General features: G+C 40.0%; 1 protein-coding gene across 2 annotated transcripts in view; it reads right to left on the bottom strand.

Moving 5' to 3' along the window:
* FIG4 (FIG4 phosphoinositide 5-phosphatase) overlaps positions 1-16,486 on the bottom strand; it is a 134,131-nt gene that overhangs the window by 106,252 nt on the left and 11,393 nt on the right. For both annotated transcript variants that reach the window (NM_014845.6, XM_011536281.4), the window contains exons 2-3: positions 3,999-4,097; positions 2,607-2,730 (exon numbers count right to left, since the gene is read on the bottom strand). In NM_014845.6, coding sequence (NP_055660.1) covers positions 2,607-2,730; positions 3,999-4,097 — 223 coding nt within the window. The remainder of the gene's footprint in view (positions 1-2,606; positions 2,731-3,998; positions 4,098-16,486) is intronic.

Genomic DNA, 16,486 nt, shown 5'->3' with positions numbered 1-16,486 from the left:
GGCTGAGACAGGCAGATTGCTTGAGGCCAGGAGCTTGAGATCAGCCTGGCCAACATGGCGAAACCCCATCTCTACAAAAAATGCAATAACCAGCCAGGCATGGTGGCGCACACTGGTAATCCCAGCTACTCGGGAGGCTGAGGCACGAGAATGGCTTGAACTCAGGAGGTGGAGGTTGCAGTTAGCCAAGGTCGCGCCACTGCACTCCAGCCTGGGTGACACAGCAAGGCTCTGTCTCAAAAAAAAAAAAAAAATGTAATAAGGTATCAACATTTAAGCTTAAACTATTAAGTAACTATTATTTAAATTAGAGTCTACTATATTTTAAACACATTTTATTTACAGTATTTTTTTCTTAAATTTAAAATATAAGCAGGACTGAAAGTGGAATTTAACATACTGGCATTTATGGCATTTAAGCACATGAACTCACGTGACACATACAGACATACACATTCCCACAAACACTCATCCATTCAACATGTAACCTCAAGGGCCTTCTCAAGACTAAGCAAAAGGCATAGAAAAGGGGCCAGGCCTGAGGAGAAGAAACCAGTCATGTTATACTACTCTTTACCTTCCCCTGCAGCCACCTAACACACAAAATGAGCCTAAAGGGATTACGTATGAAGAGCAACGACAGTATTCTTAGAAAAGCAAACTCCAAGGATGGCAGAATATAATCAAAGTTTTCATAGACATACAGTCACAAAATAGAAAGTGCTAAACAGAAGACCCAAAATAAGAATCTGAAAAACATATAGCATAGTCAAGTCCATATTAATTTTGTTAATATCTGTAGAAACCACTGATACGGTTTGCATTTGTGTCTTCACACAAATCTCATGTTCCATTGTAATCCTCCATTGTTGGAGATGGGGCCTGGTGGGAGGTGCCTGGGTCATGGGGATGGATGATTGAATGGTTTACAACCACCCCTTTGGTGCTGTTCTCGTGATACAGAGTTGTCATGAGATCTGGTTGCTTAAAAGTGTTGCTTAAAAATGTGTGGCACCTCCCCCACCATTCCTTAATTAAGCTCCAGTCATCTAAGACACACCTGCTGTCCCTTCCCCTTCTGCCATAATTGTAAGTTTCCTGGGGCCTCCTAGAAGCAGAAGCTGCTATGCTTCCTGTACAGCCTGCAGAACCATGAGCCAATTAAGCCTCTTTTCTTTATAAATTACCCAGTCTCAGGTATTTCTTTATAGCAATGCGAGAACGAACCAATACAACCACTTAATATTACACACAGTCCAGTAGGTTTAAGAAACACAGAGATAATTTCCTAAGTGTTTACAGAAAAAAAGACTCAAAATAAGGTGCTGGCAGCAGAGATGCTAAAATACAATAGCCCTCTGCTTTGGCTTTCAAAGCCCAAAGCAATCTGGCCTTGCCTGACTACTCCCCAGCATTCCCAGCACCTCTGGGTACCTTCATGTATGTGCCTCTGCTGTCACCCTTACTGGAGTTCCCTCTTTTCTTCTCTGCATTTATCCATACCTTGTTCCTCCTTCAAGGTACAGCTCAAGTCTCATCTACTATAGGAAATCTTCCCTGGCCATTCCAGGTCCAAGTAATTTACCTCTTCTGTGACCTCCAACACCATTTAATTCATACTACACAGCTTGGCTCTTACTTATAATCTTAGAGTTGTTTCATGTACATTGGATTTTATCCTCTGCCACAGACCAATCAGGGACAAACCCATAGTACAGTAAAGACAGGTTTATTGATTCACCACAAGGAGGGACAATGCATATCAGAGAAACCATGGAGCATCTTGCTAAAGTAAAGGAGTTATTACAGAATTGGGGGAAAGGTGGAGCTCAGGTAAAATTTAAATGAAGAGGCTCAAACCAAAGCAAGGTGATATTTAAAGAGATCAATATCACGTTTGGACTATGAAGTAGACCAAGGGTCCTGTTTCCTTGAAAACAACAGAATCATCATATCTATGGACTACTGTGTTCAGAAACCTCGTCTCTGAAGCTCTGCACCTGAGTTGGTAAACCAAAGCTGCTTCTCTGTGTCACAGTGACTTGGGTTGTCCAAGTAAATGTGGGATGTTTTATCTTACTAACACAATTTCAAACAGTGAAGTTTCTGATGGTCTGTGATTTTAGAAACCAAAGTTTCTCAGTGAGTTAAAAAAAAAAAAAAAAAGCAGTCATCCAAAGAAGGGGGTTATGACATTTTATAACTATAGACTAACCTTAGGAGAAATTCCTATTAATTTTAAATCCAGTTTTACGTGATTTGTTACTCCAGCTGACGAATGGCAGGGTGGATGTTTACAGTCCAGTCCAAGCTAATTTTTACTTTTTCATTCATCAATGAGACAGACAGCAACCTCCTCAAAGGCCAAAAACATTTTGATATTTGTTTGTATCCTAAATAAAACTGAGCAGTGCTAAGTGCATAAGCAGATGCTACAGAAACGCTGTTTGCTATCTGATTGATGGATAATGAAGTTTTAAATAACCAAAGCTACAGGTAATTATAATTTTAAAGCCTTATAGCCTTATAAACTCCTTTAAGTAGTCTATGTAGAGAAGACAAAAACAAAAAACAAGAGATTGTAAGAAGGGGGGCAGATTTCTTACCCACAACACCAAAAGCTGAAACCGCTCGAAATAAGCCCGAGGATCCTTTCTGTCCCATCTTTGTTCTATTTCCAAGATCCAAGCGGCCAAGAAGTTCCCTTACTTCTTGTTGAGTATAGACATGCTAAGAATAAGCACATTTACTCTGTAAGGTTGTGCTTAAACTTTAGATTATTTATTATTTGTGCCTGAAAGTTAAAAAGTTACCTACAAGCATCATCAGCTATTTCATACAGAAGTATATAATAGTACACAAGTAAGCTACAATTTTAAAAAGCTAACAAGTTCTTTAACATTAGCAATTAAGGTTGGTTATTGGATCATGCTGCTATACTAAAAAAAATGTCCAAACCTTATACTCTAAACCAGAGATGCAGAGATTTAAGGGATCTACAGGTAAATTTCAAGAGTCCATGAATCCCTTAAAACTATGTGCAAAATTTTGAGTAAATGTGCATCTTTAACGAGAAGGCCCATAGATTTTCTTAACATTTCAAAGGGCTCTCTGACCAATTGCTCCGATCTCCAAATAAAGCCAAGAACCATTACATTATATTGTTAAAAATGCTCAGATAGGTGGGGAGCAGAATGGACCCCAGGAGTAGCATGGGAAATCGTAACAAAGAATTTATCTAAAATTATTACAACACAGAAAATAGTTTTGTTACAAGTAGCTTAGTGAAAATGGATTCCAAACTGTAGTTACTACATATTTGAGAAACCAGGAATCTTTATGGATTCCGAAATAGTCACAGACAGGAATTTCAACACAAAAGATAACTTGAGTTCTTTTGTGTGAACAGTTAAACTTAACTGTTCAAACCACCATATAGTATTTCACTTTTGACTAACAGCTTCAGGTTTTTGTGCCATCTGAATTCCAGCCTCTGTATTCTTGACTCTGGATAATCTAACTCTGGATAAGAACAGCTTAACATTTCCTTAGTGTATAGCAAATCATCAGTAAAGGTCCTAGAGGTGATTTTTAGGAGGAAAATAAAGTCTGTAGCATAGAAGTCCTCCCTGACTTCAAGTAGCTTGATATTAAAGAACCATAACAGATCGTCTCTTTGGCAGATACAATATTAAGTTACACTGAATCCTTAAAATGTCAGCCCTCTTTAAGAAACAATACTCATTATCTTATCCTAAGAGTGTGTTTTCGAAAACAAGTCAAAACGAGGGGCAAAGTATAATTCTGGCGTACTTCTTGACACCAGTGATTTCTAGAAATCAGATTGGAGATTCAAATTCTAGCCAACCAAGAAAAATAACGGAAACTTTTAGATTTATGATAAAAATAATATATCACTAAAAACTGTAAGGATATTTCATGTCCTTTAAACAACAGGTATGAAAGTTTTTTTGCAGTCAGGTTTGGAGGATACTTACCCTGTCATCAATTATGACCAAATCTTTTGGTTCTGTTCTATCAATCTTCAAGACACGATATTTCGTTTCTGCATTATTGCTCCCAACTAGAAAGTATCTCTATAAATAAAAAGGAATGTCATTAGTTTATCAAAGCATTTTGCCCTATACACATTTTATACCACTTTAGTTTTTGAAATTAAATACATTAATAAAGTCAGGTTACTTTTTAAAGAAATATTTCTGTTATGTATAACTGGCAGATTAAAGAAAAGCTGACTCCAAAAGGTCAATTTTAAAATTAAAATATTCCTAGTGGTTTCATGATAAAGATCAGTCTGATGTCTGAAATGTGCCCAGTAACCAGGTCAGATGAATTTAATTGTCATAAATTTAGAGATTAATCTAACTGATTGGAGGCTGATGTTTAAGCTTTACCAGGAAGAAGCTCTGGTAAAAATTCTAAAGCTCAACATATAATTAGGAACGCTTAGGCAATTATAGCTACTAAAGTACTGACAGCTTATCAAAAAACTACTTACAAATTTTCATAAATGTCTGCAAATGTCTTTAATATAGTAACTATAAAATCTACCCAAAAGTCCCATAAATGATTAAAATGGTTGTCCTTCCCAAATGACCTTTTATAGATAAGCTACAAGAAATTATCATCATTCTTTCTTTCCTAAAACAGTTCCTTGGAGCGTTCTGACTAAACACAATCACATTAGTCTTATTAAATAAATACTGAAGGGGTGCTGGGCAAGATGGCTGACTAGAGGCAGCCAGGCGGAACAGCTGCCACCAAGGGACCAGGACAACTGGAGCACTCCTAACAGATCTTCAGAGGGAAGGCACTGAGAGTGGTGGAGGGAAGACACAGAAGCTGGGCTGAAGAGGGAAGAAGCTGGGAACCCTGCATGGGACTACCATGCACTGGCATTCATTCCTGGCCCCCAGTGACTCTGGGGGAATGGGTGAGTTGAACTGGTAAGGAGAAACTTACTCTCGCCAAGGCCTCTGGAATCCTGACAGAAGGAGACTCCCTGACCATCACAGACACTCGAGTTGGCAGGAAGAGCTGCTCAGAGAAGTGGTAGGGGCAACACGCTGGCTTATGCAGAGCCCAGAGGGTTTGGTATGGGAGCGTTTGTAGTGGAGCACAGCCAGGGACACTCATCCCCCTAGGGTTGACTTGTTCCCATAGGAGACTTTAGCCCTAGGGGAACTGTCGGACCTGAACTCTGCAGGGCGCTCTTGCCCATCAGACTGGACAGTCAACCTGAGCACCCCTTGGTCTGCTGACCTCTCTCCCAGGGCCCCAGCCCTGCTTGCAGGGAAGCCTTAGGTGTCCTGGGGGCCTGCATCAGAGACCCTGTGCTGGTGGACTGGCACCTGATTGGTGAAGAGCTCTAGTGGGGTGGCCCCCATGGCCACCCAGCAGCCCACCCTCTCCCTCCCTCCACTGCAGCTTCCCGCAGGCTCACTGCCACTTCCAACATCACTCTGCCAACATGTGTGTGCGCAGGTGGGTTTTGTCTTCCTTGCCCTACCAGTGCACGTGTGCGCATGTACCCTGTCCTGCCACTGCTGCAGTTGGGGGTGCAATCCACCTCCCTCCTTCAGCTGCACTGCCATTGCAGCTGGAGCCTTGGTGGGCACAGAGCCAGCCTGCCCCGTCCTCATCCCACCCCTGTGCCAATGCTGCCATGGGAATGAAACTATGCACAGAGGCCAGTGGACCTTCCCCAGCCCTCAGTGACCACCACTGCCTGCAGCACACAGAGAGTGTATATAGACCTGCACCTACCAGTGCCCTGCCCCTGTGCTAACAGGATCACCATGATGACTGCATGCACAGTCACCAGCAGGGCCTCCCCCGCCCCCTCAGCCATGCTGCCTCTGCTGCTGCTGTGAATGCCCACATGGAGGCAGGCACCTGCTGGCATCCTGCTGCAGCCACCATGCTTTCGCTGCCACTGGCACATGCGAATGAGGACATATCCCACCGCCACCGCACCATGAAATGCTTTGGCTGACACCACCCATCAAAGCATAGTGACCAGCAGTCACTACACGTTGGCACCCTCAGCGCATCGGATACCTAACCTCGAGGAGCCAGAGAACAAAGTCAGAGCCCAATACGAGTATTCCAGAGTTAGAGCACACAGTCCAGGAGTTGGCAGCTGAACGTTGGCCCCCTATAATCTTCCAGAAACAATACCTGTCGACTGAATCCACCTGATCCCACAATCGAACCCTTAAGGTCATCAAATAGGATAAAAGAAAAAAAGGCCATATAAAGGTCAACAGCTTCAAAGATTGAAGAAACATTAGCCCACAAAGATGAGAAAGAACCAGTGCAAGAACTCTGACAACTCAAAAAGCCAGAAGTGCCTTTTTTCCTCCAAAACAACTGCACTTTTCTCCAGCAAGGGTTCTGAACCTGGCTGAGATGGCTGACATGACAGAAATAGAATTCAGAATAGGAATAGAAATGAAGTTCATTGAGCTACAGGAATATGTTGAAACCCAATCCAAGGAAGCTAAAAATCATGATAAAACATGACAGACAAAATAGCCAGCATAGAGAACATTTCTGACCTGATAGAACTGAAAAACATACTACAAGAATTTCATAATGTAATCACAAGTACTAATAGCAGAACAGACCAAGCGGAGGAAAGAATCTCAGAGCTTGAAGACTGGCTTTCTGAAATAAGACAAGAATAGAGAAAAAAAAAGAATGAAAAGGTATGAACAAACCCTCTGAGTAATGTGGGATTATGTAAAGAGACTGACTCTACGACTCACTGGTATACCAGAAAGAGAATGGAACCAACTTGGAAAACATATTTCAGGATATCATCCATGAGAAATTCCCCAACCCATCTAAAGAAGCCAACATTCAAATTAAAGAAATGCAGAGAACCCCAGTCAGATACTCACTAGAAGATCATCCCCAAGGCACATTATCATCATATTCTCCAAGGCCAAATGAAAGAAACAATGTTAAAGGCAGCTAGAGAGAAAGGTCAGGTCACCTACAAAGGGAAGCCCATCAAACTAACAGTGGACCTCTCAGCTGAAGCCCTAAAAGCCAGAAGAGATTGGGGGCCAATATTCACCTTCTTGAAGAAAAGAATTTCCAACTCAGAATTTCATATGCAGCCAAACCAAGCTTCGTAAGCAAAGGAGAAATACATCCTTTTCAGACAAACATGCTGTGGGAATTTGTTACCACCAGAACTGCCTTGCAAGAGCTCCTGAAAGAAGCACTAAATACGGAAAGGAAAGACCATTCTCAGCCACTAGAAAAACACCCTGAAGTACACAGACCAATGACACTATAAAGCAACCACATAAACAAGTGTGCAAAATGACCGCTAACATCCTGATGATAGGTTCACACGTATCAATTCTAACCTTGAATGTAAATGGACTAAATACCCCATTTAAAAGGCACACAGTGGCAAACTGGATAAAGGACTAAGACCCATCAGTATGCTGTCTTCAACAGACCCATCTTACATGCAATGAAACCCACAGGCTCAAAATAAAGGGACAAAGTAAAATCTATCAAGCAAACGGGAAACAGAAAAAAGCAGGGGTTGCAATTCTAGTTTCTGACAAAACAGAGTTAAAACCAACAAAGCTTTAAAAAAAAAGACAAAGAATGGCATTACATAATGATAAAGGGTTCAATTCAACAAGAAGATATAACTATCCTAAATATATATGCACCCAACACAGGAACACTCAGATTAATAAAGCAAGTTTTTTGTTTTTTGTTTTTTTTGAGATGGAGTCTTGCTCTGTCGCCCAGCCTGGAGTGCAGTGGCGCAATCTCGGCTCACTGCAAGCTCCACCTGGGTTCATGCCATTCTCCTGCCTCAGCCTCCTGAGTAGCTGGGAATACAGGTGCCTGCCACCACGTCCAGCTAATTTTTTTTATTTTGTTTAGTAGAGACGGGGTTTCACCGTGTTAGCCAAGATGGTATCGATCTCCTGACCTTGTGATCCACCCATCTCAGCCTCCCAAAGTGCTGGGATTACAGGCATAAGCCACCACACCTGGCCATAATAAAGCAAGTTTTTAGAGACCTTCAAAGAGACTTAGACTCCCACACAATAATAGAGGGAGACTTTAACACCACACTGACAATAGTAGACAGATCATCAAGACAAAATTAACAAGGATACTCAACATCAGAGCTGAACTGAAGGAGACTGAGACACGAAAAACCATTCAAAAGGTCAATGAATCTGGCAGCTATTTTTTTTTTTTAAAAACTAATAAAGTATATAGACCGGAGGCTAGACTAGTAAAGAAAGAAGATTCAAACAAACACAATCAGAAGCAACAAGGGGGATATTAACGCTGACCCCACAGAAATACTAACAACCATCAGAGAATAGTATGAACACCTCTATTCACATACACTAGAAAATCTAGAAGAAATAGATAAATTCCTGGACATATACACCGTCCCATGACTGAACCAAGAAGAAACTCAATCCCTGAACAGACCAGTAATAAGCTCTGAAACTGAGGCAGTAATAAATAGCCTACAAGCAAAAAATGACAACAACAACAACAAAACAAAAATCCAGGTCCAGACAGATTCCAAGCTGAATTCTAGAAGATGTACAAAGAAGAACTAGTACCATTTCTACTGAAACTATTCCAAAAAAACTGAGGAGGAGGGACTCCTCCCTAACTCATTCTATGAGGCCAGCATCATCCTGATAACAAAACCTGTTAGAGATACAACAAAAAAAGAAAACTTCAGGCCAATATCCTTGTGAACACCAATGCAAAAATCCTCAACAAAATACTGGCAAATCGAATCCAGCAGCACATCAAAAAGCTTATCCACTACGATCAAGTAGGCTTTATCCCTGGGATGCAAGGTTGGTTCAACATATGCAAATCAATAAATGTGACTCACCATATAAACAGAACTAAAGACAAAAATCACATGATTATCTCAATAGACCCAGATGCTTTCAATAAAATTCAACATCCATTCATGTTAAAAACTCAATAAGCAAGGTATCGAAGGAACATACCTCAAATTAATAAAAACCATATATGACAAACCCACAGCCAACATCATACCAAATGGCCAGAAGCTGGAAGCATTCCCCTTGAAAACTGGCACAAGACAAGAATGTCTTCTCTCAACACTCCTATTCAATATAGTATTGCAAGTGCTGGTCAGGGTAATCGGGCAAGAGAAAGAAATAAAAGGTATCCAAATAGGAAGAGAGGAAGTCAAACTATCCCTTTTTGCAGATAATATGATTCTATTTCTAGAAAACCCAACAGTCTCAGCCCAAAGGTTCTTAAGCTGATAAACAACTTCAGTAAAGTCTAAGAACACAAAATCAATGTGCAAAAATCACTAGCATTCCTATACACCAACAACAGTCAAACTAAGAGCCAAATCAGGGACAAACTCCCATTCACAATTGCCACAAAAAAGAATAAAACACCTAGGAATACAGCTAACTAGGGAGGTGAAAGATCTCTACAAGAACTACAAACCACTGCTCAAAGAAATCAGAGATGACACAAATAAATGGAAAAACATTCCATGTTCATGGATAGGAAGAATCAATATTGTGAAAATGGCCATACTGCCCAAAGCAATTTACAGATTCGATGCTATTCCTATTAAACTACCACTGACATTTTTCACAGAACTAGAAAAAACTATCTTAAAATTCATATGGAACCAAAAAAGAGCCCAAATAGCCAACACAATCCTCAGCAATAAGAACAAAGCTGGAGGCATCATGCTACCCAACTTCAAGCTACACTACAGGGCTAAAGTAACCAAAACAGCATGGTACTGGTACAAAAACAGACACGCAGACCAATAGAACAGAATAGAGAACCCAGAAATAAGGCCACACATCTACAACTATCTAGTCTTTGACAAACCTTACTAAAACAAGCAATGGGGAAAGGATTCCCTATTCAATAAATGATCCTGGGAGAATTGGCTAGCCATATGCAGAAGATTGAAACTGGACCCCTTCCTTACACCACATACAAAAATTAACTCAAGATGGATTAATGTCTTAAATGTAAAACCCAGAAGTACAAAAACTCTGGAAGACAATATAGGCAATACCATTCAGGACATAGGCACAGGCAAAGATTTCATGATGAAGATCCAAAAGCAATTGCAACAGAAGCAAAAAATGACAAATGGGATCTAATTAAACTAAAGAGCTTCTGCACAGCAAAATAAACTATCAAGAGAGTAAACAGACAACTTACAGAATAAGAGAAAATTTTTACTAACGATACATCTGACAGAGATCTAATATCCACCATCTGTGAGGGACTTAAACAAATTTACACGAAAAAAAATCATTAAAAAATGGGCAAAGGACATGAACAGACACTTTTCTAAAGAAGACATACATGCAGCCAACAATCATATGAAAAAAAAGCTCTGCATCACTGATTATTAGAGAAATGCAAATCAAAACCAAAATGAAAGCCCATCTCACACCAGTCAGAATGGCTATTACTAAAAAGTCAAAAAACAACAGATGCTGGAAAGGTTGCAGAGAAAAAGGAACACTTATACACTGTTAGCAGGAATGTATATTAGTTGAACCATTGTAGAAGACAGTGTGGCAATTCCTCTAAGACCTAAAGACAGAAATATCATTCGGCCCAGCAATCCCATTACTGGGTATACACTCAAAGGAAGAGAAGTTGTTCTATTATAAAGACACATGCACGTGTATGTTCACTGCAGTACTGTTCACAATAGCAAAGACATGGATTCAACCTAAATGCCCATCAGTGATAGACTGGATAAAGAAAATGTGGTACATATATACCATGGAATACTATGCAGCCATAAAAAAGTCCTTTGCAGGAACATGGATGGAGCTGGAGGCCATTATCCTTGGCAAACGAATGCAAAAACAAAAAACCAAATACTGCAAGTTCTCACTTACAAGTGGGATGAGAACACATGGACACACAGAGGGAGCAACAGACACTGGGGTCTTTTGGAGGGTGGGAGGAGGGAGAGGATCAGGAAAAATAACTAGTGGGTAGTAGGCTTAATACCTGGGTGACAAAATAATCTGTACAACAAACCCCCATGACACAGGTTTACCTAGGTAACAAACCTGCACATGTATCCCAAACTTAAAAGTAAAAAAAAAAAAAAGAATACTGAGAATAAAATGAATAATCAAAATGTAGAAAAATATATTTAAATGAAAATGCTTTTAAGAAAAACTAAATGAAATGAATTATTCTAAAATTATATCTAAAAAATAAGTACTTCATTAGCAAAAATAAAGATATTTCGCTTCAAAAAGTCCTTTAAAAAGTGACACTTTTTAAACATTGCAAAAATTGAGAAAACACTGCCATAATCAACTCACATTGTGCCATTTACTATTGGACATATAAGGTGTAGATACACAAAGCAACTAAATAACAAACAAGTCTTTCGATATTAAAGGCCAAAATGAAGCATGTAGACCATAGGAAATCAGCGCAGGAAAGATTAATGTGGCTTACTATAGATGAGAAAAATGTCAGACAAGTTGGGTCTAGAATTGAACCTTCAAGAATAGGTAACACTTTAAAAGGTAAGAATTTACTGTATATTACAACATGAACACTTGGATATACTGTTTTAACTTTAAATCTGTAGAAATACATGGAATTTTTACTATTAAGTATATATATGTGTATATATGTGTATATATATGTATATATATGTATATATGTATAGGTATATATGTATATGTATGTATACATATGTGTATATATGTATATATATATACACGTATATATGTATGTATATATGTATATATATACCTATACATATATATATACACATACACACACACACACACATATATATATATACACACACACACACATCAGTTTATAAAGGCCTGATTTACTGATAAGTTATGAAGAGCAAAACAATCTGTTAAAAATGATGGGTTAGCCTGACCTCAAGAAGAAAGCTAGTCAAGAAATTCAATCCCACATCTCCTAGGAGAGGTACAGTCTAGATGACACTATGAGTTATAATGAGGTAGAAATAAAGCAATTATAATAAAAATTAGTAAACTAAGTTGGGACATCCAGTGACAGGATTCGATGTACTGGGGGTGCAGTTAGACAGACAGGCAAACAGGAAGAGAAAGGAAGTCAAAGAATCTCAGCCAGGCTTCAGCTAATTCCTGTCCCTGACACCCTACCCACCACTGAGAGGAGAGGGGGTAACCAATCTAACAGCGTTCACCTAAGAAGAATGGTTTGTAAACTATACGTGCTTGTTAGCAGAAAAGGGAGCCCTTCTTGAGGACTTAAAAAATGGCTTCTAGGAGAGGAAATAGCAATTGCAAAGAACTGAAAAGGGAAGAAGATGGTATGTTTGTTACAGGCACAAGAATAAGCGAGAAAATGTTCGTTCACAAAGCACCTAACACAGTGACCACAGCAGTCAGCACAAAAAAGACACTCAATAAGTGTTAGTTCCTTTTCTGTCCTTCACTTTGTAAGATGTCAGTGAGACTATGCCATTGTATTTGAGGAAAAAGACAAACGCCAGAGGAAAACAGAGAGTAGCCCAAAGGGAGGAAAGCATGTTCAGGACCAGAATGGACTCACAATGGGAAAATGCGCCAATCTGTTAGTAGTCAGTCTATGTCCTCGGGAGAGAAGAGCATGCAAATTGACAATCATGAATAGCATGCTATAACAGAGGCATGAACTAGATGCCATGAGAACACAGGAAGGGCATTTGACTTATCTGGGGATGGTCAGAGCAGGCTGGTGTTGTCCTGATTCTGAATTTGGCCTTGAGGAACCTCTAAGCAGGACTTTGGGCACTGAGCCAAGACAAGGCCAGTGAACCACCCATGTCCACCTGCACCAATCCCTACTCATCACCTGTTCTCCCCAAAGCACTTTTGTTTCTACCTAAATGTAGTACTTACTTCTGAAAGTCTTGTCTAAATTTGTTTGGGGCTTGTCTGCCCCCTACTATAAGCACCTCGGGAGACTGGGGCTAACTCCTTAACCTCTGTGGATTTTAATTTCCTAGTCTAGTAGCACAATATGGTGCCTCAGGCATTAGCTAAGTGTTAGGTGAAAGAACAACTATGTACCACAGAGTAATCATTTCATGTGCTGGGTAATTTTCTAAGACATTTACACTAACCCAGCTTTTCTGGGTAAGCACATAGAAAAATGGCTCTTTTAAGTCAACCACTCAGTAAGGAGGAACATCCTAGGTTTAAAAGAGGTAAAATCCCTAAATGAAATTCCCTAGAATTTTATTTTTTAATTTTAACTTCTATTTTAGGTTTGGGGGTATATGTGAAGGTTTGCTACATAGGTAAACTCATGTCACAGGGGTTTGTTGTACAGAATTTTAATAAATCCTACGAAACCTAAAGATTAATTGCAATGGGATGATACTTTGGCAGTTTGTGATTTTAAAAACAGATATAAATCCTGACATGCTCATGGGCAAATGCATTATTGGACTTCGAAACACATACTTAGGAAGGCAGATCTGTACTTCCAATATCTAGATCCTTCCAAAGAATCCATGAATCAGAGGAGCCAAAGGCTAAAACCCACAGAATCTGGAAATAGATCAGAGTGGAGGGAAAGAAATGGGAAGCACTATACCTACCCGCATTCTCTCTCTTCTCAAACAGTCTAAGAATCCTAAAAACGTTTTGTGCAGAGAATAGCGACCTCATGTGGAGCCAGTTATGAGGGAAAGAAAACCCCTGCTTTTCAGCTGGCCTACTGTAGACCGCGGAATCACTGCCTGCACTGCCCTCTGGTGGGCAGCTGACCATCCACTTTCACACCAATTTTTTAAGAGGTAACTTCCAGAAAGGCCTTGTTTCTACTCGTTCTTATTTCCTTCCTATTGAATATATCAACACTGTATATCCTCAGCCTTTGTTACATTTAATAGTATGCTTCAAAATGGACCTCAGCATTTTGGGGATTAAAAATTTCCCTAAAGTTTCCCTCCACTAAATTTTTCTCCACTGTTGATTTTTTTCCCAATTTTTAATTTAAAAAAATCTTCAAAGACAACAGAACAGTACAACGAACACCCATATACCCTTCATCTAGACTCACCAACTGTTAACATTTTGTTGCATTTGTTTTCTCCCTCCCCCACTCCTGATAGATGCTTTCTTCCTCTGAACCTCTGGAAATGAGTTGCAGGTATCGTAACACATAATCATAATATCATCAATACAATATATATGTACAATTTATATTCCAATTTTCCCCCCATCTCCCTATAATACCCTCTATAGCTGGATTTGATAAAGCCAGAATCTAATCAAGGATCATGTACTACCTATCTTTATGTAAAGTTATGTTACATCTTTTTAAATCTTTTAATCTAGAATAGTTCATCAGGCTTTGTTTTTCATGACTTCCCCATTTTTAAAGAGCCTACTTTTTTTTTTTTTTTTTTTTTTTGAGATGGAGTCTCACTCTGTCACCCAGGCTGGAGTGCAGTGGTGTAATCTTGGCTCACCAGAACCTCTGCGTCCTGGCTTCCCAGGTTCAAGCAATTCTCCTCCCTCAGCCTCCCAAGTAGCTGGGATTACAGACGTGCACCATGACACGTGGCTAATTTTTTTTGTTGTTGTTGTATTTTTAGTAGAGACAGGGTTTCGCCATGTTGGCCTGGCTGGTCTTGAACTCCTGACCTCAAATGATCCACCTGCCTTGGCCTCCCAAAGTGCTGGGATTACAGGCATGAGCCACCATGCCTGGCCCCAAGCCCACATTTTTTTACATACATTTTCTTGGTGTTTCTATTGATGTCACTCATTGGACCACTGACTAGTAAATGCCTCATATGTGTCAGGCACTAGGCTCGATGCCTGAGGAAAAAGATAAACTGAAGATATATTTTGGATATATAACTTACTGGTAGATGGGATCAGGAAGGAGAGTAATAGATCCAATTACCTTTAAGCAGATAGCTAGATGATGGTGCCACTTACTGATGTCGAGATGACTGGAGAAGAAACAGGTTTGAAGGGAAACCAAGAGTTCTGTTCACAACATGCCCAGAGAGGCCAAGTGAGAACTCAGTGGGTAAAAGAGCTCAGTGGGTGCCATCAGCATGTATGCAGCATTTAAAGCCATGGGACTGGGTTAAACCTACTAGAGAGAGTAGGGAGAGTGACGAGAGCCCAAAAAAGCTAGCCTGAGGAACTCCATTATTTAGAGGCTGGATACGGAGAAGGAACCAGCTGAGAAGATTGGGAGGAATGGCTGGTGAATGAGAAAACCCCAGCACGAGGTGGACTCGTCAAAGCAAAGAAAGATCATCTGGGAAAGGAGAAAGCAGTCACATCAGATGCTGCTGAGAAGTCAAGTCGATAAGGACAGAGCATCTGATGACAGGCGCTTGTGAGTGGCCCTTCTGTGGGCAGTCTCAGGGACAGAGAGGGGGCAAGATCCACAACAGAGATGTCTGAGGTGCAAAACAGGTAGAATCCTGGATAAAGATGGAGGAGTGGACACCTCTGGTCCTCCCAAACATCTTACTAAAACCATAGTAAAGTTTTTTATGTTTGTTTTTAGGCTCAAGCCCCAAGAGCAAAAGGAGGAACAAAGAAGATAAAGGAGAAAAATAAAAACCATTTGAAACTGAAAAGCATGTGTAACAAAGCTGACTCCTAAACTGGCAATGGTAAAGTCAAGAAGCAATCCAATTTACACAATAGAACCTCCAAAAGGCTTGGGAATTTGAAGCCCCTGATACCTCTGTAGTGTCAGAAGAAGATAAAAAGAAGAGAGCACAAAAAGAAGTTAGCACAGCTTCTGAAAAGAAAAAAAAACAAGCTTCAAACTAAAGATCAAGAACAGAGTAACATTAGAAGCTCTCAGCAACAATGCTGGAAGGTGGAAGAGAATGACATAAGGCCTTCAAAACTCTAAAGGAAAATTCATTCCAATCCTTAATTCAGTATTTATTTTATCAATCAAACCTGAGGGTGGCATAGGACATTTTTAGATACTCATGGGCTTAAAAAAAAAATGAACTTCTATGAACCCTTTCTCATGAAGTAATTAAAGGAAGTACTCTACCAAAACGAGGCCATAATCAAGAAACAGGAAGTGATGGGATCCAGGAAAACAGGGAAACTGTCATAGAGAGTATGATATAGGGTAACGGTGAAGGGAAACCCCAGAATGGCGGCTGTAGTGCAGGCCTTGGGAGCATCCAGTCCGGACTAAAGCCATTGCTTCAAGATGAAACCCAGAAGAATACTTAAGGGGTGTGAATGTGTTGAGAGATTTTTACATCTAGGGGAAAGTCAGGGTTCAATTTATTACAAATTTGTAGTAAGAACTAGGGATTGAAAGAAGACAGAAAAGTCATCTCAAGTATTGGCAGAGTCTGAAGAAGCAAAGGGCCCCTAGTTCAAATGGTAGGGAAAGGAGATAA

Source organism: Homo sapiens, chromosome 6 (assembly GCF_000001405.40).
Source record: "Homo sapiens chromosome 6, GRCh38.p14 Primary Assembly".
Classification (NCBI taxonomy): domain Eukaryota; kingdom Metazoa; phylum Chordata; class Mammalia; order Primates; family Hominidae; genus Homo; species Homo sapiens.
The sequence above is the reverse complement of the archived record's forward strand: the minus strand, read 5'-3'. Positions and strand labels throughout refer to the sequence as shown.